The sequence below is a fragment of the Homo sapiens genome, chromosome X, assembly GCF_000001405.40.
Source record: "Homo sapiens chromosome X, GRCh38.p14 Primary Assembly".
Classification (NCBI taxonomy): Eukaryota; Metazoa; Chordata; class Mammalia; order Primates; family Hominidae; genus Homo; species Homo sapiens.
Genome location: NC_000023.11, coordinates 122219443 through 122244904, shown reverse-complemented (window position 1 = coordinate 122244904; position 25462 = coordinate 122219443). Strand labels below are relative to the sequence as shown.

The 25462-nt window shown below is 40.5% G+C and overlaps 10 annotated features.

Moving 5' to 3' along the window:
* Positions 5911-7110: an enhancer, noted in NCBI's record as "MED14-independent group 3 enhancer chrX:121371648-121372847 (GRCh37/hg19 assembly coordinates)". NCBI's record gives its function as "activates an origin of replication core promoter dependent on BRD2, BRD4, P300/CBP and CDK7 cofactors, and independent of MED14, by STARR-seq in HCT116 cells {active_cell/tissue: HCT116}" and the evidence as "EXISTENCE:reporter gene assay evidence [ECO:0000049][PMID:35650434]".
* Positions 7397-8148: an enhancer, noted in NCBI's record as "H3K27ac-H3K4me1 hESC enhancer chrX:121370610-121371361 (GRCh37/hg19 assembly coordinates)". NCBI's record gives its function as "activates a minimal SCP1, AML or CMV promoter by ChIP-STARR-seq in primed H9 embryonic stem cells {active_cell/tissue: H9 hESC(primed)}" and the evidence as "EXISTENCE:reporter gene assay evidence [ECO:0000049][PMID:30033119]".
* Positions 17131-17852: an enhancer, noted in NCBI's record as "OCT4-NANOG hESC enhancer chrX:121360906-121361627 (GRCh37/hg19 assembly coordinates)". NCBI's record gives its function as "activates a minimal SCP1, AML or CMV promoter by ChIP-STARR-seq in primed H9 embryonic stem cells {active_cell/tissue: H9 hESC(primed)}" and the evidence as "EXISTENCE:reporter gene assay evidence [ECO:0000049][PMID:30033119]".
* Positions 20322-20937: an enhancer, noted in NCBI's record as "NANOG-H3K27ac-H3K4me1 hESC enhancer chrX:121357821-121358436 (GRCh37/hg19 assembly coordinates)". NCBI's record gives its function as "activates a minimal SCP1, AML or CMV promoter by ChIP-STARR-seq in primed H9 embryonic stem cells {active_cell/tissue: H9 hESC(primed)}" and the evidence as "EXISTENCE:reporter gene assay evidence [ECO:0000049][PMID:30033119]".
* Positions 21554-22169: an enhancer, noted in NCBI's record as "NANOG-H3K27ac-H3K4me1 hESC enhancer chrX:121356589-121357204 (GRCh37/hg19 assembly coordinates)". NCBI's record gives its function as "activates a minimal SCP1, AML or CMV promoter by ChIP-STARR-seq in naive H9 embryonic stem cells {active_cell/tissue: H9 hESC(naive)}" and the evidence as "EXISTENCE:reporter gene assay evidence [ECO:0000049][PMID:30033119]".
* Positions 22170-22785: an enhancer, noted in NCBI's record as "OCT4-NANOG-H3K27ac-H3K4me1 hESC enhancer chrX:121355973-121356588 (GRCh37/hg19 assembly coordinates)". NCBI's record gives its function as "activates a minimal SCP1, AML or CMV promoter by ChIP-STARR-seq in naive H9 embryonic stem cells {active_cell/tissue: H9 hESC(naive)}" and the evidence as "EXISTENCE:reporter gene assay evidence [ECO:0000049][PMID:30033119]".
* Positions 22786-23401: an enhancer, noted in NCBI's record as "OCT4-NANOG-H3K27ac hESC enhancer chrX:121355357-121355972 (GRCh37/hg19 assembly coordinates)". NCBI's record gives its function as "activates a minimal SCP1, AML or CMV promoter by ChIP-STARR-seq in naive H9 embryonic stem cells {active_cell/tissue: H9 hESC(naive)}" and the evidence as "EXISTENCE:reporter gene assay evidence [ECO:0000049][PMID:30033119]".
* Positions 23402-24017: an enhancer, noted in NCBI's record as "OCT4-NANOG-H3K27ac-H3K4me1 hESC enhancer chrX:121354741-121355356 (GRCh37/hg19 assembly coordinates)". NCBI's record gives its function as "activates a minimal SCP1, AML or CMV promoter by ChIP-STARR-seq in primed H9 embryonic stem cells {active_cell/tissue: H9 hESC(primed)}" and the evidence as "EXISTENCE:reporter gene assay evidence [ECO:0000049][PMID:30033119]".
* Positions 24018-24633: an enhancer, noted in NCBI's record as "OCT4-NANOG-H3K27ac-H3K4me1 hESC enhancer chrX:121354125-121354740 (GRCh37/hg19 assembly coordinates)". NCBI's record gives its function as "activates a minimal SCP1, AML or CMV promoter by ChIP-STARR-seq in naive and primed H9 embryonic stem cells {active_cell/tissue: H9 hESC(naive and primed)}" and the evidence as "EXISTENCE:reporter gene assay evidence [ECO:0000049][PMID:30033119]".
* Positions 24634-25250: an enhancer, noted in NCBI's record as "H3K27ac-H3K4me1 hESC enhancer chrX:121353508-121354124 (GRCh37/hg19 assembly coordinates)". NCBI's record gives its function as "activates a minimal SCP1, AML or CMV promoter by ChIP-STARR-seq in primed H9 embryonic stem cells {active_cell/tissue: H9 hESC(primed)}" and the evidence as "EXISTENCE:reporter gene assay evidence [ECO:0000049][PMID:30033119]".

Here is a 25462-nt window from a genome sequence, read left to right as displayed (position 1 = left end):
GAGATGGCTTGTAGAATAAGCTAGGGCTTGAACAGGATTTTACAAATAAATTAAATTTAGATAGTAAAAAGAAACAGAGAATGCATTCTCCATGATAGGAACAGCATAAATAAATGCATGACTGTGGGAAAGACCATGGTACACTCAGCAAACCATAAGGAGATCTGGCTGACTGGTTTAAGCTTCTATTGGAGGGTTGTAAGAGATACTTTTGGAAGGTAGAGGGATGTCAGATTTTGGAGGGTTGGCTAACGTGTCATGGACTGGAAAAAGTATACATACCTATAACCTTTCACAATTTACCATTTGCAAGATACATATCTGTTTTCCCCAGTTTAAATTAGTTTTCTTTGAACCATCCACCATTTATTTGTTCCTCCACTTACTGCTGGGAGAGGTTCAAGAATATCTTTTCTAACTTTTTAAGAAAGAAAAGCTAAACAGTTCAATCCAGGCTTAAAATCATTGGTTTAAATAATAGCAAATACTAAAAGTATCACCAAGTCCTGTTAGTCTTCTTATCCATCCATCTAAGATGCACACATTGACAATGGAATAGAAAATTGACATTCAGAGCTCAGAATTTGAGAATCCTCGTTTTGTGTATCACCCAGCCTAAGTCTAAAAAACTTTGCTTGGCTGATCGGTCATTCTGAACCAGAGGTTGACATTCCCCACCCCCATAACACTGCAGGGCCTTTTAACATATTTTGAAGGCATGTTTGCTTATCACAACTAGGAAGGAGTCCAACTGACATCTATTGGGAAAAGGCCAGAGTTGTTGCTAAATATTCTATAATGATCAAGACAGCCCCACCACAGCAAATAATTATTCAGCCAAAAATGTCAATAGTGCTGAAGTTGATAAACAGAGTTGATAAACTCTGTTTTAGTCTACTTCTATATCAGCCTTATAAGAACCCTCATATCTTGAGGCCTAAAAATATACCTTTATTCTTTTCCAAATGGTAGCAACAGTTCAGCATTTCCATGGCCATGTATGGAACAGTCTTCAAAAAAATTTCCAGACTTTGTTGTCTAATACAGTAGATACTAGTTGTATGTGGCTAATAAACACTTGAAATATGGTTGATCCAAATTGATATAAACTATAAATGTAAAAAATACTCACCAGATTTCAAAATCTTAGCATAAAAAAAGAGTGTAAAATATATACTTATATACTTAATATGTTTAAAATACTTATTGCATGTTGAAATTATACTATATGGACATATTTGGTTAAACAAAATATATTATTGAATTTATTTTACTTGCTTATTTTTCTAAGTTGTGCCTACAAAAAAATGTAAAATTATATATATAGCTTGCATTATAATTGCATTGGGCAGTGCTGCGCTATATGACTTTTCATCTTTATCACTTTCCACATAGGCTCCTAAGAGATCTCGATACTCATACTAATTAGTTAGCACATCCAGGATCCATTGAGAACCCTGTTCTATTCAATTTCCTAGACCTACTGTTTAAAAAACTCAGCCCAGAAAAATATGACACAGTTATGCAACTTTGCTTTTTTATTCAGAATTGTTCACATTTTATTCTAATAGTCAGAACAGACTACCTCTATATCAGTGAAAAACTGCTATTTCTAAAATAGCATTCTTACAAACACCGCAAAAATTGCCTATAAAAGTTTCTCTATAAAGAAAGCTATGGTTCTACCATGGTAGGAGAAGCATAAACTCAGGATGTCTTTGGTGGTGACAGAGGTCATGATTTAAGAGACATAAGGAAATGTGAATATTAATAAGAAAAGAGTAATGAAGTAAGGTCTTTCTAAAGAAAGAATTTCAAGGTGATGACCCTCTCACCTTTCTCTGAGAGAAAAGATGCTTGGATTGGTGAAATGGAAACGGCACTGGACTGAGAGTTAGATACCTTAATTCTAGTGGTGTATCTGACATGTACTGAATGTATAACCTTGGGTGAACTACTTAATTTCACTGAACATCAATTAACTTAACTATAAAATAAGAAAAAGAAATTCAAAGGTTGTTGTTAGGATTATATGAGAAATTCTACATATAATACTTTTGCAATGTAATGTTATGCTTATATAAACATGTAAGAGGTTATTAGTATACCATCTCTTCTAAATGCATTAATAATGCAGAATGCATTTGAAAAAAATGTGTGTCCAAGTTAATGAAATGTAAGTCATTCCCAAAATTAACGACTGCCATTACTCAAAGGTTATATTTACATAAATGGATTGACTTAAAATCAGTTATCTATTTCAATGAAACAAGGGCAATAAGTTGTTTGTTTTCAAAATAACTGATCATTTTATTGTGATTGATGGTATTTTGAAGTAATGGAAAACACTATTTATGCCTAAGTTTTTGGCCCCCAACTAGGATCAGTTCTCACCATATTGACAGTGTTTCAAGACTAGCCTTTTATTTGGAACAACTAGGCTCCATGGTTGTGGTTAAGACACAAAGAGAAGGTCATGCTTTTACACTGATAATATTTTGAGACAAATTCTTTTTCAACAGTTGATCATATTTATTTGTGAAAATGATAGAAGCAGAGACAGCCAAATGCCTAGGCAAATAGGGAAGTATCCCTGGAGAATCTCCAACCCACCCGGGTCATTGTGTGTAAGGGGTTTGTCTAAACATGCCCACGGCAAAAAATTCCATCCCTTAACACATGCGCAGTAAAGGAAATAAATCAATTTGGAGTGGCTCAGACTAAGGGCCCGCATATTCACCGGAAGAATGGGGTGGAGCTACCAGGAATTTGCGCCTCATACAGGGAAGAAGGCTGGCCTCTTCAACTCGTGTATGGTGGCCTGGTACTCAACTTGTGAGGTGAAAACTTGTGTGCAGGACCCCTCTTTTTGTTGACAGTTTTCCTTTTGCTTAGTAAATTCCACCCTCCTCACTTTTCAATCTGCTACATGCCTAATTTTTCCTGGCCATGAGACAAGAACCCATATTTAACTGAACTAAGGAGCAAAAAACCTGCACCAGAGAACCATTTACTATCTTTAATTAGTTATAATATGAAACAAAAGTGTTTTGAGGGTGCTGATTCCAGGTAGAATAACACAAGAGTCAAAACTCTTGTATCAGTATAAAACTGGGTTTGAAATCAAGCTCAGCCACTATATAGTGTGTATTATCAGGACTTTGAACAAGCTATGTAATCTTTTTGGTCTCAGGTTTCTTATCTGTGAAATAGTGATCATAATAGTATCTGCTGCATTGGGTTATCAGAAGAATTAAAGGAGAAAATCAATGTCAGGTACTTAAATAACATTGTATAGTTACCATGTGCTCAATGAAATTATTTAATATCAAAATTTTTGATAATAATAATTACAAAAAGAAAGGATTAGTGAGACCATCTTAAGCAAAGGAATTGAATAAAAATGCATGGAAATAGAGCTATAAAAAGAGTACAAACTATATTGAGGGTAAGTGAAAAGAAGCTTCTACTTTAGAGTTCATGAGGGAGACTAATGGTAAAGCAGGAGACTATGGATTTATGTATTGAGGATAAGAATTTAGAACTCTATACTGTAAGCAATAAGGAGTCACTGAAGTAACTGTTTTTAAACAGCACCAAGCTTTCTATATATATATTCTACTACAATTTCACGATGGCCAGGGAAGTTTTAGTTTTCAACAATCATTGAGAAATAAGTCTGTTGGAAAATCATATGCTTAGTTTAAATGTGTTTTTAAAATGATATCCTAGTACAGCATTGATTTGCAGCTACAAGTTCTTTAAGCAGTTTGTCTCAAACTATCAAATACTTTTGCTCTCTGAGTGATAAGTGTTAAAAACAATTTAACACAATGTAATCAGTAAACACTTAACAGGCAAATACTGATAAAAAAATTGTAAATACTGCTTTCAAAGTAAAAGTTGTTCTCAAGTATTCATGACTCTAACATGTAGGTACACCAGGCAATCATAATCTCTATTTTATACTGCTAAGACACAGAAATGGAAAAAGTGAGTCCAAAACAAAAGGAACTCAAAAATGTAAATCAAAACCACAATGAGATACAAATTCACAGCAATCACAATGGCTTTAAAAAAAAAAAAGGAAAAAATAAGGTGTTGGTGGGGCTGGGGAGAAAAGGGAATGCTTACAACACTGCTGGCAGAAATGTAAATTAGTTCAGGCACTGTGGAAAGTTTGGAGATTTCTCAAAGAACTTAAAACAGAACTACCATTTGAGCCAACAATCCCATCCCATTGCTTGGTATATACTCAAAGGAAAATAAATCATTCTACCAAAAAGACACATGTACCCATATGTTCTTCACAGCACTGTTCACAATAGCAAAGACATGGAATCAACCCAGGTGCCCATCAATTGTGGATGGGAAAAAGAAAATGTGGTACATATACATCATCAAATACTATGCAGCCATAAAAATAGAATAAAATAATGTCCTTTGCAGCAACATGGATGCATCTAGAAGCCATTATCTTATGTGAAAGGATGCAGAAACAGAAAATAAAATATTGCATGTTCTCACTTATAAGTAGGAGCTAAACAAAGGGTACATGTTGACATAAAGATGGAAACAATAGACACTGGGGAATATAAGAGGGTAGAGTGGGGAAATAATTTAAAACTACCTTTTGGGTACTACAGGAGATGGGATAATTCATACCCCAAACCTCAGAATCTCACAATATACCTTTGTAAAAATCCTTCACATGTATCCCCAGAATCTAAAACAAATGTCGAAAAAGAAAAAAAAGGAAAAGAAACTCAAAACAAGTGTAAAATGTCTTTAGAAGTAAAGCAAAGTGAAAGAAATGATAATTGGCTGGAGGGTTGGCTCAGGCCTGTAATCCCAGCAATTAGGGAGGCCGAGGCAGGTAGATCACTTGAAGTCAGGAGCTCAAGACCAGCCTGACCAACATGGTGAAACCTCGTCTCTACTAAAAATACAAAATTATCAGAGCATGGTGGCTCCTGCCTGTAATCCCAGCTACTTGGGAGGCTGAGGCAGGAGAATCGCTTGAACCCGGGAGGCAGAGGCTGCCATGAGCTGATATCATGCCATTGCACTCCAGCCTAGGAAATAGAGTGAGACTCCATCTCAAAAAAAAAAAAAAAAAAAAAAAAGATGATAATAAAGTAGTCATGGATTCTTTCATTCATTCAGTGATTCATTGAACAAGTCTATTGCTTACTTATGCCTTCTACTTGCTAAAGTGTACTTTTACCTTCAAAGGAAATTGAAGGCAATCCTGACTGAGCCAAAAAGGTTAACAGCAGAAAGGTCAGAAATAAGGGTTTGTCCTTTCAGTCAGGAAAGTAGACAGCCAAGCAAACAAAAGAACCCTGTGGTAGTGAGAGAGTTAAATTACCAGCAAAATATAAGAGAACTTCCAATCACCATAATGGCTAAATATTAAGTTGTTGGGATTCCTTCATGTATGGGTAGAGATGTTTACATTTAAATATTGAAAAAAGCTAATGTTTGTCCCTGAGAAGATCTTAAATAGATGTATCTTTATTCTCAAAGGTTTAAGAAAATATTCAAATCTGCATCTGTCTTTAAAGCGTGCTCCAGTTTGTTTCCTATTTAATTATGGTATTTTGGATGCAAGATTTTTGCTCCTTAGTTCAGCTAAATCTGGGATCTTGTTTCACAACCAGGAAAAATTAGGCATGTAGACACATTAAAAGGTAAGGAGGGCAGAATTTGTTAATCAAAAAAAAAAAAAAAAAAAGCTGTCAACAAAATGAGAGGTCTTAGATGCAGGTTTCCACCTCACAAATTGAATATTAGGCCACTACACATGAGTTGAAGATGCCAGCCTCCTTCCCTGCATAAGGCACAAATTCTTGGTGGCTCCACCCCATTCTTCTAGTGAGCATGTGGGCCCTTAGTCTGAGTCACTCCAGACTGATTTATTTCCTGTACTGTGCATGTGTTAAGGGAGAGAATTTTTTACTGTGGGCATGTTTAGGCAAGACCCCTGCACACAATGACCTAGATGGGTTGGAGGTTCTCTGGGTACCCTTCCCTAATTGCCTAGACATTTGGCTGTCTCCTGCCTCTATCATTACCCCCTCCAAAGAAGTACATCTAACTGCCATTAGGATAAGGACAAGGACAAGGACAAGGATAAGGATAAGGACGATAACAACTGATCTTAAATGCTTTCTGCTGACTGGTGGTGCTGTATTGTGAAAACAGCAGTCAGATCTCTCTCAGAGGCCTATCTAAGGATCCCTGGTAAAAGGAGGGCCATTGTTCGAGGCTCCGGTTGCTTGACCATTTGGAGTTCAATGGCCTGAAGGTGAGAAGAGACAAACAAAATGATTAGAAGACATATATCAAAATGAAACAAAAGTGGGGGCAAGGACAGCTTAAAAATTCTGAGGCTGCTAGCATGCCCAGATAACCGGTGGCTATAGTTATGCTTGCTAAGATCTAGGTACATGGGGTTTCACTTTGGTTAGCTCTCTTGGTCTTATAAAAAACAAAAAACAAAAAAACCAAACTCTGGGTTGCAGACACCCTATTTATTCCTATCACCTGGCAGGATTTGCAGGGTAACTGCCCAGAACTAGACTATTGATCCAGATTTTTACACTACACATTTCTTTTGTTTCTTCTGAGCTGCAGCCAGAGTTTTCTGGTTGGTTCACAGGAATGAGTAGGATTAGTCCAAATTGTAGGCAAAAAACAACTAATGATTCTAGAATTTAATGACAAATGTAGGATAATTTTTGAAACATAATTTCTCTCTCTCCAGTCCTCATTTTTGTTGAAAGCAAATCATGGGAGATCATGGCAGATGGGAGTCAGGACTAGATTGCAGCTCCGTACAGAGCAGTGGGCAGCGACTCACATTGTGAATTTTAACTCCAGATGTACTGCAAGAGTCAATCAGCAATCCCCAAAGGACCCACAGACCCTCTGAAGGAAGCGGACTGCTCCTGCAGGACCCAGGAGACCCCCCCAAAATTGTGAATGACTGAACTGCAGAAGTGGGAAAGGGAGACCCTCCTCTCCTGAACACATACCCGCACAGGAGAAGCCAAAGGTCTGTTTGTGGGAGAAGTTTCTGACTTTACCTTGAGCTGAGTCAATTTGGAGAGCCAAGTGAAATACAGGTGTAGAGGAAACAGCAGAAAGGCCCCTGGGAGCTAGCTGGGTCCCCTAGCAGGCCATTCCTTCCTGGCACCACAGGAAACCAACAGGAGAAAAGCAGGGGCTAAAGCTACACAGAGAGAAGCAAATCTCTAGCTGAACTTTAACAATTTGAAAGGGGTGAAAAGCTTTCTGACCAGAACTCTGGAGAGGGCGCAAATCTGGTGTGCAGACTCCACAGGTAGGGGAAGAAGCAAGCCCCTTTCTTTCACAGCTGGGAGGCAGACAGCCTGGGGCAGGTTTTCAAGCCCATCTCTCTCTCCACCTGGAAACGGTCTGGGGGGACATGGTGGGAGCGAGACCAGCCCTTCGGTTTGCATGGGAGCTGGGTGAGGCCTGTGACTGCTGGCTTTCCCTCACTTCCCTGACAACCTGCATGACTCAGCAGAGGCAGCCATAATCCTCCTAGGTACACAATTCCGGTGATCTGGGAATCTCACCCTCATCCCCCACAGCACAGCAGTGGCAGCAAGACCTGCCCAAGAAGAGTCTGAGCTCAGACATGCCTAGCCCTACCCCCACCTGGTGGTCCTCCCCTACCTACTCTGGTAGGAAAGACAAAGGGCATACAATATTGGTAGTTCTAAGGCCCTGCCCACTGCTAGTTCCTCCCCATAATTCCACAGCTGATGTTCTCTGGAAAGCACCACCTCCTGGCAGGGGGTCAACCAGCACAAAAATAGAACATTAAACCACCAAAGCTAAGTACCATCAGAGAGTCCATTGCATACCCCGTCACCTCCACTGGAACAGGCACTGGTATCCATGGCTGAGAGACCCATAGATGGTTCACGTCACAGGACTCTGTGCAGACAACCCCTAGTACCAGCCTGGAGCTGGGTAGACTCGCTGGGTGGCTAGACTCAGAAGAGAGACAACAATCCCTGCAGTTCGGTTCACAGTAAGCCAAAGTAAGGAAAAGGGGGAGAGTACTAAATCAAGGGAACACCCTGTGGGATAAAAGAATCTGAACAACAGCCTTCAGCTGTAGACCTTCCCTCTGACACAGCCCAACCAAATGAGAAGGAACCAGAAAACCACCCCTAGTAATACGACAAAACAAGGCTCCTCATCATCCCCCCCAAAAAATACACTAGTTCACCAGCAATGGATCAAAAGCAAGAAATTTCTGATTTACCTGAAAAAGAATTCAGGAGGTTAGTTATTAAGCTAATAAGAGAGGCACCAGAGAAAGGCAAAGCCCAATGCAAGAAAATCCAAAATAGGATACAAGAAGTGAAGGGAGAAATATTTAAGGAAATAGAGAGCTTAAAGAAAAAAAATCAAAAATTCATGAAACTTTGGATATACTTTTAGAAATGTGAAATGCTCTGGAAAGTCTCAGCAATAGAATTGAACAAGTAGAAGAAAGAAATTTAGAGCTCGAAGACAAGGTCTTAGAATTAACCTAAACCAACAAAGAAAAAGAAAATATGAACAAAAGCTCCAAGAAGTCTGGAATTATGTTAAATGACCAAACCTAAGAATAATCAGTATTCCTGAGGAAGAAGAGGATTCTAAAAGCTTGGAAAACATAATTGCAGGAATAATCCAGGAAAACTTCCCTGGCCTTGCTAGAGACCTAGACATCCAAATACAGGAAGCACAGAGAACACTCGGGAAATTTATCTCAAAGAGATCTTTGCATAGGCACGTTGTCATCAGGTTATCCAAAGTTAAGATGAAGGAAAGAATCTTAACAGCTGTGAGACAGAAGCACCAGGTAACCTATAAAGGAAAACCTATCAGATTAACAGCAGATTTCTTAGCAGAAACCCTGCAAGCTAGAAGGGATTGGGGCCCTATCTTCAGCCTCCTGAAACAAAACAATTATCAGCTAATAATTTCGTATCCAGTGAAACTAAGCATCATATATAAAGGAAGGATACAGTCTTTTTCAGACAAATGCTGAGAAAATTTGCCATTACCAAGCCACCACTACAAGATCAGATAAAAGGAGCTCTGAGTCTTGAAACAAATCCTGGAAGCACATCAGAACAGAACCTCTTTAAAACATAAACCACACAAGACCTATAAAACAAAAACACAAGTTAAAAAGCAAAACCTAAAAACAAAAAAACCAAAGTATACAGGCAACAAAGAGCATGATGAATGCAATGGTACCTCACATTTCAATACTAACACTGAAAGTAAATGGCCTAAATGCTCCACTTAAAAGATACAGAAGAGCAGAGTGGATAAGAACTCACCAACCAACTATCTGCTGCCTTCAGGAAACTCATCTTGTAGATAAGGACTCAAATAAACTTAAAGTAAATGGGGGGAAATTGTATTTCATGCAAATGGAAACCAAAAGCAAGCAGGGGTAGCTATTCTTATATCAGAGAAAACAAACTTTAAAGCAATAGCAGTTAAAAGAGACAAAAAGGGACATTATATAATGGTAAAAGGCCTTGTTCAACAGGAAAATATCACAATTCTAAACATATATGCACCTAACACTGGAGCTCCCAAATTTATACACAGTTACTAATGGACCTAAGAAATGAGATAGATAGATAGCAACACAATAATAGTGGGGGACTTCAATACTCCACTGACAGCACTAGACAGGTCATCAAGACAGAAAGTCAGCAAAGAAACAATGGATTTAAACCATACCTTGGAACAAATGGACTTATCAGATATATACAGACCAAAGAATACACATTCTGTTCAACAGCTCATGGAAATTTTTCCAAGAAAGACCATACGATAGGCTATAAAACGAGCCTCAATAAATTCAAGAAAATTGAAATTATATCAAGCACTCTCTCAGACCACAGTGGAATAAAACTGGAAGTCAACTCCAAAAGGTACCTTCAAAACCATACAAATACACGTAAATCAAGATAAAAATTAAAAAATTCTTTGAACTGAATGACAATAATGACACAACTTATCAAAATCTCTGGGATACAACAAAGGCGGTGCTAAGAGGAAAGTCCTTGGCCCTATAAAAGCCTACATCAAAAAGACTGAAAGAGCACAATTTGACACCCTAAGGTCACACCTCAAGGAACTGGAGAAACAAGAGCAAGTCAAACCCAAACCCAGCAAAAGAAAGGAAATAACCAAGATCAGAGCCAAACTAAATGAAATTGAAACAAAAATAAATACAAAAGATAAATGAAACAAAAAGCTTGTTCTTTGAAAAGATAAATAAAATTGATAGAACATTGGCAAGATAAATCAAGAAACAAAACAGGGGATATTACATCTGACACCACTGAAATACAAAAGATCATTCACAGCTACTATGAACACCTTTATGTATATAAACTAGAAAACCTAGAAGAGATGGATAAGTTCCTGGAAAACTACAACCCTCCTAGCTTAAATCAGGAAGAATTAGATATCCCGAACAGACCAATAACAAGCAGTGAGATTAAAATGGTAATTAAAAAATTAACAACAAAAAAAGTCCAGGAACAGATGCATTTACAGCAGAATTCTACCAGACATTCAAAGAAGAATTGGTTCCAATCCTTTTGACACCATTCCACAAGATAGAGAAAGAAGGAACCCTCCCTAATTCATTCTATGAAGCCAGAATCACCCTAATACCGAAATCAGGAAAGGACATCACCAAAAAAGAAAACTACAGACTGACATCCTTGATGAACATAGATGCTAAAATCCTTAACAAAAAACTTGCTAACCGAATCCAACAATATATCAAAAAGATAATCCACCATGATCAAGTGGGTGTTTTGTTTTGTTTTGTTTTGTTTTGTTTTGTTTTGTTTTTGAGACGGAGTCTTGCTCTGTCACCCAGGCTGGAGTGCGGTGGCATGATCTCGGCTCACTGCAAGCTCCGCCTCCCAGGTTCATGCCATTCTCCTGCCTCAGCCTCCCGAGTAGCTGGGACTACAGGCGCCCGCTACCAAGCCCGGCTAATTTTCTGTATTTTTAGAAGAGACGGGGTTTCACCTTGTTAGCCAGGATGGTCTCGATCTCCTGACCTCGTGATCTGCCCGCCTCAGCCTCCCAAAGTGCTGGGATTACAGGCGTGAGCCACCGCGCCCGGCCGATCAAGTGGGTTTTGTACCAGGGATGCAGGGGTGGTTTAACATAGGCAAGACAGTAAATGTGATACACCACATAAACAGAGTTAAAAACAAAAATCACATGATCATCTCAATAGATGCAGAAAAAGCATTCGACAAAACCCAGCATCCATTCATGATTAAAACTCTCAGCAAAATTGGCATACAAGGGGCATATCTCAATGTAATAAAAGCCATCTATCCATAGCCAACATAATACTGAATGGGTAAAGGTTGAAAGCATTCCCTCTGAGAACTGGAACAAGACAAGTTTGCCCACTCTTACCACTCCTCTTTAAAATAGTACTGGAAGTCCTAGTCAGAGCAATCAGATAGAAATGAGCAATCAGATAGCAATCAGAGAAAGAAAGAAATGGCATCCAAATCAGTAAAGAGGAAGTCAAACTGTCACTGTTTGCTGATGATATTATTGCTTACCTTGAAAACCCTAAGAACTCCTCCAGAAAGCTCCTAAAAGTGATAAAACAATTCAGCAAAGATTGCAGATACAAGATTAATATACACAAATCAATAGTTCTTCTACACACCAAGAGCAACCAAATGGAAAATCAAATCAAGAACTCGACCCTTTTTACAGTAGCTGCAATAAAATAAAATATTTAAGAATATGTGTAACCAAGGAGTCGAAAGACCTCTACAAGGAAAACTACGAAACCCTGCTGAAAGAAATCATAGATGACATGAACAAATGGAAACACATCCCACATGGGTAGAATCAATATTGCGAAAATGACCATGTTGCCAAATGCAATCTACAAATTCAATGCAATTCCCATCAAAACGCCACCATCATTCTTCACAGACTTATAAAAATATCCTAAAATTAATATGGAACCAAAAAAGAGCCTGCATAGCCAAAGCAAGACTAAGCAAAAAGAACAAATATGGAGGCATCACACTACCTGATTTTAAACTATACTATAAGGCCATAGTCACCAAAACAGCATGGTACTGTTACAAAAATTGTCACACAGACCAATGGAACAGAATAGAGAACCAAGAAATAAACCCAAGTACTTACAACCAACTGATCTTTGACAAAACAAACAAAAACAGAGAAGGGACACCCTTTTCAACAAATGGTGCTGGGATAATTGGCTGGCAACATGTAGGAGAATGAAACTGGATCTTCATCTCTCATATTATACAAAAATTAACTCAAGATGGATTAAGGACTTAAACCTAAGACCTGAAACCAGAAATATTCTAATAGATAACACTGGAAAAACTCTTCTAGACATTGGCTTAGGCAAGGATTTCATGACCAAGAAGCCAAAAGCACATGCAATAAAAACAAAGATAAATAGCTGAAGCCTAATTAAACTAAAGAACTTTTGCACGGGAAAAGGAACAGTCAGCAGAGTAAACACAACCTACAGAGTGGGAGGAAATCTTCACAATCTATACATCTGACAAAGCACTAATATTCAAAATCTACAACAAACTCAAGCAAATCAGTAAGAAAAAAACAAAAAATACCATCATAAAGTAGGCTAAGGACATGAATAAACAATACTCAAAAAAAGATATGCTAATGGCCAACGAACATGTGAAAAAAATGCTCAGCATCACTAATGATCAGGGAAATGTAAATCAAAACCACAGTGTGGTATCACGTTACTCCTGCAAGACTGACCATAATCAAAAAATCGAAGAACAGTAGATGCTGGCATGGATGGGGTGAACAGGGAACACTTCTACACTGCTGGTGGGAATGTAAACTAGTACAGCTGCTATGGAAAACACTGTGGAGATTCCTTAAAGAACTAAAAGTAAAACTACCATTGGATCCAGCAATCCAAGTACTGGGTATCTACCCAGAGGAAAATAATTCATTATTCAAAAAAGATACTTGCACATGCATGTTTATAGCAGCAAATTTCACAATTGCAAAATCGTGGACCCAACCCAAATGCCCATCTATCAATGAGTAGATAAAGAAACTATGGTATATATATATATATATATATATATATATATATATATATATATACACATGCACATATATATATATATATATGATAGAATACTACACAGCCATAAAAAGGGATGAATTAAGAGCATTTGCAATAACCTGGATGAGACTGGAGACTATTATTCTTAGTAACTCAGGAATGGAAAACCAAACATCGTATATTCTCACCAATATGTGGGAGCTAAGCTATGAGGACACAAATGCATAAAAATGATGCAATGGACTCTCTGAGGACTTGGGGGGAAGAATGGACGGGGGGGCGGGGGATAGAAGACTACAAATATGGTACAGTGTATACTGCTCGGGTGATGGGTGCACCAAAATCTCCCAAATCACCACCAAAGAACTTACTCATGTAACCAAATACCACCTGTACCACAATAACCTATGGAAAAATAAATTAATTAATTAATTTAAAAATCATGATAGGGCTGAGTTGTTTGCAAAATAAACTTTAGTCTTATAGTTAGCCTGATTATTTCCATAAAGTGCAGCAAGAACAATTATTTTTACATAGGTTTTTAAAATTGGATATGATGGAACTCTGTTCCTCAAGGCATCTCAGATAGGAGTTATTAAAGTTGAGCCCAGGCATGGGTTTGTACTCTCAAATACCTATGAGCTGGGTGAATTTCTCTCTTCTTGAGGTCCTAATAATATGGGGTTCCTGGGTCTGTTAGAAAATGACATTCTTTATTCACCACAGGTTAGGAATCCTATATGGAGACTGTGTAAACATGCTATCAGTACAGTTTTCCCAAGGAGATTTTATCAATTCTGTAAGCCAAGCTTGATTCCTTAAAGGGAAGCATATCCTTCTAGTAAAAACTTTGGTAAAAGAACCAGTTCCTCCAATTGTGTCCTGTTGCAAAAGAAAATAGCTTCTTGTTGTACTGGTGCAAAGAATCATGTTGCCATAAGTTAAGAATACTCACAGATAGTTTCCAAATTCTAGAGGAAACAGGCAGAGAGAAACAAACATGCTCCAAATTTTCTTCACAGGACTCTGCCTTACTCAATTATTAAAGACTGCAAATAGCATAAAATAAGTTTCCTTGACTCTGTAAAACAAGGATCAGCAATGTTTTAAGCAAAAGTTTGTTAAAAATTCCTTCAGTTTTCTATTAGTTCAGTCCATTTCATTAACAATTGTTCTGCTTGATATCCATAAACATTTAAGCTCTTCATGAGTCCTGTACTTTTTTCCTTTATTCCAACGTCACAATCTCCAAAGTTATCAGAACCCTGCATTTGAGAGCACTTGTCTCTCAGTTCTACAGCTGATTATAAACTCTTTTGAAGAGAATCAAAACAAGACAACAATTCTCTGTTAATAAGAAAACATCCAAGGTAGTTACAGTTAAAAACACAATTGACAAAGAAATTTGGTTATCTCTGTGGTTTACAATAACTTAACATAATAACCTTAATTATGATTGATAGCATATGCTCAGACATTAAAAATTTTAGGAATCCCATACGATTTTGTAACATATATTAATATTATTCACTTAAATATAACCTGAAGAAGATTAAGCATCATTTTGGCAAGTCCACGTACCTAAACATGTCAATTAATCCTGTTTACCTCTTTTGGATGCCCCAGGGGCCCTCTCTAGCATCCAACAGCTAGAGGTCAAGAAAGACAACCTTGAAGCTAAAATTTGATTTTGGGAAGCCTGTTTAATGTTAGAGTTTTGAAGCACTTGATATTATGAAACAGAATTTCAGATTACCCTAAGTTATTATTTTGCCAAAATGATGACTCAAAAAATGTTTAAATAGCAAAAAACTTAACTCTTTAAGAGGGAAGACTTCGCATTCCAAACAGTTTGTCTCCTGTCTTCTCTTTCTTCTCCTTGACAGTCTATCCACAAGGCAAATGAAAATCATTCATTATCCTTTACTGTTATATGAAAATCTTGTACAAGGGAGAGAAAGCCAAATATAACACTTACATTAGTTTACCGTTTATGTCAATCCCAGCTTTTCTAATGAAACCTTATAGACAATTCTATCCGAACTTAACCAGTTTAACCATGAGGTGAGATTCTTATAAAACTTTTATAACGCTTTACACATTTTGCTAAAGAGCAGATTAGTGCCTTAAGGAAACCTTGTTGTGTTTTTACTTCAATGCTCAATTTACAGAAAAACCATATAATATCCATTTGAATTTATTTTGCAAGGTTAATTTTTTAAAACATCCCATAACTTGTTTAAACCTTTAGCTTTATTTTATCTAATTTAAAACAATCCTTTAGCTCTAGGCAAATATTTCCATTTTCATGCTTTCTTATAATCTTTCACTAAAAACACATTTTACCATTCTTACACACCTTGCATGTAAATCCATTTTAAGTGGTCTCAATTACATGTTATAATGATAATTCTTTACCATTAAACGGCAAATTTTAATTTTAGTGTAAAACCTGGTAAGTTGTTTTAATTATGCATTAAGTGCTGATGAAGTTTGATTCCTTCCAGCATAGTTAAGGGCATGGTGGCCAGTCAAACAGCTCTCAAAGGCCAAAAAAGCAGTTTGCAACCTTAAAACATTTAGCAAACCTAGTATCTGACTTGCACAATTTAGATCACCTATTTACATTTTAATGACATTTGTATTTTCCTATAATCTTTAAGACTGTTTTTATTTCTCAAAGATTAGTCATGTGAACTAAAAAGCAGTACAGCTTTTACTTTTCCTTCAAAAACTTTGATCTAAGAGCTTATTTTTCTTTAAGCCAATTAAATATAGCTATTTTTTATATACATCACATACAACATATATAACTACACAGACAAACAGAAAATCCAGTAGTTATAAGATTTTTCATTTGCCAATCTCTCAATTGGATTACTAGTCTCAAGTGGGGCCTTTTAAAAGCAGGGCTAGGAAAACAAGCAGTTTCTAGGGACTAATAAACAGGTATAGGTAGAAGACAAAACTAGATTTTGAGAGGGATCTATCTGCATCTAATTCCTGGGGTTCCATAAGGAAAACAGAGGTTGCTCCCAAAATGGAATCTGTGGCACCTTTTTTGTTTTTCCCAAGGAGTCCCAGGCAATCAGAAATTACCTTAGGGACTCTCAAGCGTGCATTAAGAATGGCAAGACAAGATGGAGAAAAGTAATTCAGTCAACTAATTAAAACCTATTTCCAGCAAAATAAGATCCAAGAAGAAAAAACATAAAGGCCTTTTAAATATGCCTATAACTTGGATATCCATTTTTAATTAAGCTGAGCATTCTTTAAGAAAGTCCTTTTAAATCTCTTATTACCTGACTTTAGCCATGCCAAACAGCCAATATTTCTGGATTTTGAATTTTATCAAAAGTAACCTCACAGGTGAAACCAACAAGTCTCAATTAAAGTTATGTCTTAACTGTGAGCATACAAGATATTTTCAAGACATAGTAAGCAGTTTTTTTACAAAATCTAGAACCTTTATGGCTCAGGGAAAGGATGATTTAAGAAAGGAAGCTAGAACTTGTTCATGAGAGGGGAAGAGAATTAGCAAATGGCATAAGTCACGCAGATATCAACCTGAAAGCACTCATTCCCCAAGCCAGGATTGAACCTGGGCCACCATTGTAAAATGGCGGAGACTAAAACAAAATACTGTCATATGGTTACAGGTCATGCTCCTAAAGACATAAAATAAGATGGAGGCCTGCAGCAAAGTTTGTTACTGACCAGATTGCAGGGCTGACTTAAACAGTGGGCTTATGGGGTCCTTGGCCCACATGATATCCTAAGGTACCCCTTTTTTTCTAACAGAACCATACTGAAAGACACACAAAGCACACCAGATTGGTTACAGCTTAAGAACAACTTCATAAATCCTTTTTCATTAACCAAAACTTTACAGAGAATATAAACAGTGGTCCTTGTCATTCCTTTTCTTCATGGGCGTCCGTGTGAAGAGACCACCAAACAGGCTTTGTGTGAGCAGCATGGCTGTTTATTTCACCTGGGGGCAGGCGGGCTGAGTCCGAAAAGAGAGCCAGTGAAGGGAGATAGGGGTGGGGCCATTTTATAGGATTTGGGTAGGTAAAGGAAAATTACAGTCAAAGGGGGGTTGTTCTCTGGCGGGCAGGAGTGGGGGTCGCAAGGTGCTCAGTGGGGGTGATTTTTGAGCCAGGATGAGCCAGGAAAAGGACTTTCACAAGGTAATGTCATCACTTAAGGCAAGGACCGGCCATTTACACTTCTTTTGTGGTGGAACATCATCAGTTAAGGTGGGGCAAGGCATACTCACTTCTTCTGTGATTCTTCAGTTACTTCAGGCCATCTGGGCGTATACGTGCAAGTCACAGGGGATGCGATGGCTTGGCTTGGGCTCAGAGGCCTGACATTCCTGCCTTCTTATATTAATAAGAAAAATAAAACAAAATAGTGTTGAAGTGTTGGGGCGGTGAAAACTTTTGGGGCTTGGTATGGAGAGAGAATGGGCGATGTTTCTCAGGCCTGCTTCAAGCGGGATTAGGGGCGGCGTGGGAACCTAGAGTGGGAGAGATTAAGCTGAAGGGAGGTCTTGTGGTAAGGGGTGATATTGTGGGGATGTTAGAAGAAACATTTGTCATATAGAATGATTGGTGATGGCCTAGATACGGTTTTGGATGAATTGAGAAACTAAATGGAATAACAGAAGGAGAAAGACAGGTATAAAAGGTCTAAGAATTGGGACGACTCAGAATATCTGATTAGAGAGTGCCTAAGGAGATTCAGCATAGTCCTGCCAGCAAAGATTATTTATTTACTTCAAGAGTTAAGAGTGGCAGTTTGGGGATAGCACCAGGAGATATCAGCTGTGATGGCTTGGAGAAACAGTGTAAACCGGCAGTGTAAACAAGAGCAGGGCGTGTATGAGTAGTCGAGAACGGTGAATAGGAGTATGACTAGACAGAAGATAGTAGTGATGACAAGTTTTTTGGGGCACAGTCTACGTTGGTCTGGTGTCTGGAATGAGACTGGGGCCTAATAAAAAGGAGCGTCTATACAGGAACTTAAATGGGCTGTACCCTGTAGCATTCCAAGGACAGGCCTGAATTCTGAGAAGGGAAAGTGGTAAAAGTATTGTCCAGTCCTTTTTAAGTTGGTGGCTGAGCTTGGTGAGGTGTGTTTTTAAAAGACCTTTAGTCCATTCTACTTTTCTTGAAGACGGAGGACCGTAAGGGATATAAAGGTTGCACTGAATACTAAGAGCCTGAAAAACTGCTTGGCTGATTTGACTAATAAAGGCTCGTCCGTTATCAGACTGTATTGAGGTGGGAAGGCTAAACTGAGGAATTATGTCTGACAGAACGGAAGAAATGACTGCGGTGGCCTTCTCAGACCCTGTAGGAAAGGCCTCTACCTATCCAGTGAAAGTATCTACCTAGACTAAGAGGTATTTTAGTTATCTGACTCAGGGCATGTTGAGCAAAGCTAATTTGCCAGTCCTGGGTGGGGCAAATCCTCGAGCTTGACGTGTAGGGAAGGGAGGGGGCCTGAATAATCCCTAAGGAGTAGTAGAATAGCAGATGGAACACTGAGAAGTTATTTCCTTGAGGATAGACTTCCACGATGGAAAGGAAATGAGAGGTTCTAAGAGGCAGGCTAGTGGCTTGTACTATAGCATAGCCTGCCTTTGCTGGTGTGTGGCGATTAGGCCTGTTGGAACTGCCATCAATAAATCAAGTGTGATCAGGGTGAGCAACAGGAAGGAAGGAAAAATGGGGAAATGGGGTGAATGTCAGGTGGATCAGAGAGATACAGTCATGGGGGTCAGGTCTGGTATCAGGAATAATGTGGGAGGCCGGATTCAAGTCTGGGCCAGGAACAATGGTAACTGTGGGAGACTCAACAAAGAGTGAGTATAGCTGAAGGAGCCGGGAAGCAGAAAGTATATGCGTCAGGTATGAGGAAGAAAATAGATTTTGGAAGTTATGAGAACTGTGGAGAGTGAGTTGAGCATAGTTTGTGATTTTGAGGGCCTCTAAAAGTATTAAAGCAGCGGCAGCTGCTGCACACAGACATGAGGGCTAGGCTAAAACAGTAAGGTCAAGTTGTTCGGACAGAAAGTCTACAGGGTGTGGTCCTGGCTCTTGTGTAAGAATTCTGACCGTGCTAACCATGCCTAGGAAGGAAAGGAGTTGTTGTTTTCTAGAAGGTGCTTGGGTTTGAGAGATCAGTCGGACATGACTGGCAGGGAGAGCACGTGTGTTTTTATGAGAATTATGCCGAGATAGGTAACAGATGAGGAAGAAATTTGGGCTTCATTGAAGTAATGGGGGCTGTCTGTGAAGCTTTGCGGCAGTACAGCCTAGGTAATTTGCTGAGCTTGATGGGTGTCAGGGTCAGTCCAAGTGAAAGTGAAGAGAGGCTGGGATTAAGCGTGCAAAGGAATAGTAAAGAAAGCATGTTTGAGATCTAGAACAGAATAATGGGTTGTAGAGGCAGGTATTGAGGATAGGAGAGTATATGGGTTTGGCAGCACGGGGTGGATAGGCAGAACAATTTGGTTGATAAGGCGCAGATCCTGAACTAACTTGTAAGGCTTGTCTGGTTTTAGGACAGGTAAAATGGGGGAATTGTAAGGAGAGTTGATAGGCTTTAAAAGGCCATGCTCTAGCAGGCGAGTGATAACAGGCTTTAATCTTTTTAAAGCATGCTGCCAGATGGGATATTGGCGTTGAGTGGGCTAAGGGTGATTAGGTTTTAATGAGATGGTAAGGGGTGCATGATCGGTCGCCAAGGAGGGAGTAGAGGTATCTTATACTTGTGGGTTAAGATGGGGGAATACAAGAGGAGGACGCAAAGGAGGCTTTGGATTGGGAAGAAGGGCATCAATGAGATGCGGCTATAATCCAGGAACAGTCAGGGAAGCAGATAATTTGGTTAAAATATGTCGGCCTAATAAGGGAACTGGGCAGGTGGAGATAACTAAAAAAGAGTGCATAAAAGAGTGTTGTCTAAGTTGGCACCAGAGTTGGGGAGTTTTAAGAGGTTTAGAAGCCTGGCCGTCAATACCCACAACAGTTATGGAGGCAAGGGAAACAGGCCCTTGAAAAGAAGGTAATGTGGAGTGGGTAGACTCCGTATTAATTAAGAAGGGGACGGACTTACCCTCCATTGTGAGAGTTACCTGAAGCTCGGCGTCCGTGATGGTCTAGGGGGCTTCTGAGGCGATTGGGCAGCGTCAGTCTTCAGCCGCTAAGCCAAGAAGATCTGGGAAGCAGTCAGAGAGCCTTGGGCCAGAGTTCCAGGGGCTCTGGGAGTGGCTGCCAGGTGAGTTGGACAGTCCGATTTCCAGTGGGGTCCCGCACACATGGGATGTGGCTTAGGAGGAATCCTGGGCTGCAGGCATTCCTTGGCCTGGTGGCCACATTTCTGGCACTTATAGCAAGCTCCTCGGGGAGGAGGTTCTGGAGGAATGCCTGGCCGCTGCGGTTCAGGCGTTTGGAAGTTCTTGTGTGCTGGAGATGTGGCTGGGGTTTGTCTCACAGTGGAGGCAAGGAATTGCAACTTTTTTCTATTATTGTACACTTTGAAGGTGAGGTTAATTAAATCCTGTTGTGGGGTTTGAGGGCCGGAATTTAATTTTTGGAGTTTTATTTAATGTCGGGAGCGGATTGGGTAATAAAATGTATATTGAGAATAAGACGGCCTTTCGACCTTTTAGGGTCTAGGGCTGTAAAGTGTCTCAGGGTTGCTGCCAAACGAGCCGTGAACTGGGCTGGGTTTTTATATTTGATGAAAAAGAGCCTAAACGCTATCTGATTTGGGATAAAGAAAAAGGAGCATTAACCTTGACTATGCCTTTGGCTCCAGCCACCTTTTTAAGAGTAAATTGCTGGGCAGGTGGGGGAGGGCTAGTCATGGAATGAAACTGTAAGCCGGACCAGGTGTGAGGAGGGGAGGTGATAAAAAGATTATAGGGTGGAGGAGCAGAGGCTGAGGAAGAATTGGGACCTAGCTCGGCCTGGCGAGGAGCAGCCTGGGGAGGAAGGGAGAGGTCAGATTGGTCTGTAGAAAAGGAAGATTAGAAAGACTCAGCGACGCTTGGGGTTGGTACTGAGGGGACAGGCGGGAGGGAAAGAAGGAAGATTTGGGATGAGTTGCACTGGGCACAGAGACTAGGAAGGGACTGCTGTGTAAAAGAATGCCTGGAAGTCAGGCACCTCAGACGGTTTGCCTATTTTATGACAAGAATTTAGATTTTGCAGGATGGAAAAATTCAAAGTGCCATTTTCTGGCTATTTGGAACTACTGTCGAGTTTGTATTGGGGTCAAGCAGCATTGCAGAAGAAAATAAGGCATTTAGGTTTTAGGTCAGTTGTGAGTTGAAGAGGTTTTAAGTTCTTGAGAACACAGGCCAAGGGAGTAGAAGGAGGAATGGAGGGTGGAAGGTTGCCCATAGTGAAGGAAGCAAGCCCAGAGAAAAGAGAGAGTAGAGAAACGGAGGGAAGGGGTTTGGGGGTTCTTACCTTCCAGAAAAGTGGGAAAAGGGGTTGGGGCACAGAGATAAGAGGTCGGGGTGTGGAAATAAGGGATTGGGGCACAGAGATAAGAGGTCGGGGTGTGGAAATAAGGGATTGGGGTGCAGAGATAAGAGGTCGGGGCGTGGAAATAAGGGATTGGGGGTTCTTGCCCAGTAGAAAAGCGGGACTTGCCGCTAAGGGTGAAGGAGAAGGGGTTGAGGGGTACTTGCCCCTCTCCCAGAAAAGCAGAGAAGGGGTAGGAGACAATGAGAGAAAGGGTTGAGGTACTTGCCCCTTCCCCAGAAAAGCGGGACTTGCGGCTAAGGGTGAAGGACCAAGGCAGGCATCCCTGCATGGTCTGACACCTTATTCACCCACGTTTCAAATCAGAGAGGTGTCCCTGCAATGATTAAACACCAAGGGAAGGCTGCCTTCCCAGTTCGTGACCGGCGCCAGAGTTTTGGGTCCACGGATAAAACGTGTCTCCTTTGTCTCTACCGGAAAATGAAAGGAATTGAAATTAAGAGAAGGGAGAGATTGAAGTGTGGCGCCAAGATTGAAAGGAGAAAGAGGTAGAGGGATAGTGAGGGAGGTTGGAGAAGAGAGTAAAAAGAGGTCGCTTACCGGATTTGAAATTGGTGAGATGTTTCTTGGGCTGGTCGGTCTGAGGACCTGAGGTCATAGTTGGATCTTTCTCACGGAGCAAAGAGCAGGAGGACGGGGGATTGATCTCCCAAGGGAGGTCCCCAGATCCAAGTCACGGCACCAAATTTCATGTGCGTCCATGTGAAGAGACCACCAAACAGGCTTTGTGTGAGCAACATGGCTGTTTATTTCACCTGGGTGCAGGCGGGCTGAGTCCGAAAAGAGAGTCAGTGAAGGAAGATAGGGGTGGGGCCGTTTTATAGGATTTGGGTAGGTAAAGGAAAATTACAGTCAAAGGGGGGTTGTTCTCTGGCGGGCAGGAGTGGGGGTCGCAAGGTGCTCAGTGGGGGTGCTTTTTGAGCCAGGATGAGCCAGGAAAAGGGCTTTCACAAGGTAATGTCATCAGTTAAGGCAAGGACCGGCCGTTTACACTTCTTCTGTGGTGGAATGTCATCAGTTAAGGTGGGGCAAGGCATATTCACTTCTTTTGTGATTCTTCAGTTACTTCAGGCCATCTGGGCATATACGTGCAAGTCACAGGGGATGCGATGCCTTGGCTTGGGCTCAGAGGCCTGACACTTTTACCAGTTTGCAGAGGGAGAGAGAGGCCAAAAGTCTGACTGGTAAAAAAAAAACTTTTACCCTTTTGCTGGCATGTCAGGCTTCTGGGTTCCCTTCCCCCAAGCTCAATTCTTAACCAACCAGTTTAAGGTGTGGGAAATTAACTTTTCTCAGTTTGGAGGATGCATCTGAGGGGAGTATCCTGTAGTATGGGGACACAATTACCTATCTGTGTAGAGAGGACAGAGGAGGAAAAAGGAGAAAAGAAGGTTTTTTGGTTTTTTGTTTTTTGTTTTCAAAGGAACTCCAGGGATTCAGAATGCATTCAAAAGGGGGACAGACTGAAAAATGAATGGCCATTCAGCTAGAAAGTGGGGAGTCAGGTGTTCCTGGTTCCTTTCTCTTCCTAGTGAATACCTGGGGGTACATAAGGGAGAGAAAGAAAACGGATCCTTTTTCCTTTTACTATCATTATATCCCTCAGTCCTGAAAACCTCAACAGGGTGCTGCCCATGGGTGCCAATGTGGCTTTCACCCATGCTAATAGGAAGCATAGGGGATGGCATTATCTGCTCTTACCCTTTCCGACTGCTGTCAGTAGCCTTTTAGTTCCCTGCACCTCATTTATTCCATGGATACTAACACAACCTCTATCCATGAAATGGGAGGCTTGGCTTAATCCGCAGGAATTAATCATGCCCACCTGCACTGCACCTATTAACTTCCATTGTTGTCTGCCTCTGGATCCCTTAGATCCAATTTTCTTTCCTAGCTGTTTGACCTGAAGCTTGGAATTGAGTTTGTGACCAAAGAACTGCCTCAGGGGAATGCATAGACTTATCAAGCCCCAGGTGTCCCTCACCAGACCAGCTGCTGCCTCCTTATCATAAGCTGAATGCTAAGGTGGAACTGTGCAATTGGGTCCTTCTCAAACAAGGGAAGGAAAAAGGGTGCCCTGTGAATTGGGATCCTGTTCTAATAAGATGGCTTTCAAGAACAAAACCTCTTACATAAAAGTTAACTCCTGACAGGGTGGAGAAAAGAAAAAAATGTAGCTTAAGTGTGGGGCTGTGAAGATGCCTGGAGGAATAACCTCTTATTCTTATGCAAATGGACTTCTCTAACAGGGAGAGAAACTTTTAATTGTTGTGGGACCCAGCTGGACTCCAAGGCTGGGGGAGGGGAAGGCTCCATGGATGTGTGGCAGGAAACACTAGCCAGCTGGCCATGCTGGTCCTGGGCCCCTGAGGCAGCCTTGGGGCCCAGGCAGCAGCTGTGGCTCATTCCAACCTGGCATGGCCATTGGACATTGCACACACATGCGGCAGACATGGCTGTGTGCCCCAGCCAGGAGGGAAGAGGGACAGGGAGCCGCCACTCACCCGTGCGTCCTGAGTGTGTGCCCCTGGCCATTGGGGTGGAGGTAGAACACCCCCAGTATTGTAAAAGAAATGATAGGTGCCATTACAGTCCTGAAGAAAAGAAAGAAAATGCCATAGAAAAGACTGGGTTGGACTGAGGCTGACATTCCTGACCCCTAAGTGCAATGGCAGAGGGGCAGTTTCTCTTGCACTGAGAAAAAGTCTGAGGACGAGAACACCCAGAAATGAAAGTGAAAAAGATTTTTTGGGTCCACATTTTGCTCACCCTTCCTCATGTCCCCATATGGGCCACGAAAATGATGCATGATTTTTTGCTCCTTTAGCTAAATCCGGGTTCCTGTCTCACAACCAGGAAAAATTAGGCATGCAAACGTATTAAAAGTTAAGGAGGATGGAATTTATTAAGTGAAAGAAAAGCTCTCAACAAAAAGAGGGGTCCTTCACAACAGGTTTCCACCTCAAAAACTGAATAGTAGGCCACCACACATGAGTTGCAGAGGCCAGGCCTCTCCTCTGCATAAGGTGCAAATTCTTGTTGGTTCCACCCCGTTCTTCCAGTGAGCATGCGGGCCCTTAGTCTGAGCCACTCCACATTGATTTATTTCCCTTGCTGTGCATGTGTTAAAGGATGGAATTTTTCACCATGGGCATGTGTAGGCAAACCCCCTGTGCACAATAACCTGGGCAAGCCAGAGGTTCTCCAGGGACCATTCTCTTTTTGCCTGGGCATTTCACTGTCTCCTGCCTCTGTCAGTTCCAGACAATAAATTCCACTCATGGTGATTCATTGACTTTATCATATCTTAAGAAGTGGAAAACATTAGTTATTAACTCCACGGACAAAACATATATAAAGGCAAACATCCACCACAAACAAAATGTATCCAACAAAGCTTTCATGATTAAAGAGTCTTCTTTTTAATAGGCTTTTATTCGAAGTTGGTGAAAATAGCTTCTCAAACCTTCATGAAAGCTTCAAAGTAGGAAACACTGGATGATTCGTTAAAAAGATACATATATATATATATTTTTCATGGTTAATTTGGTATCATTTATTTTTAAGTATTGGTAACTCAATGAAGTGAAATATTTGCATTAGCACTGATTGAGTGAGAGTCACATATCTCTTGTTATCAATCAAGATATTGTATATACAGCAGGGACCCAAGTGCAGAGTGGGTACAGTGTGCATAAAA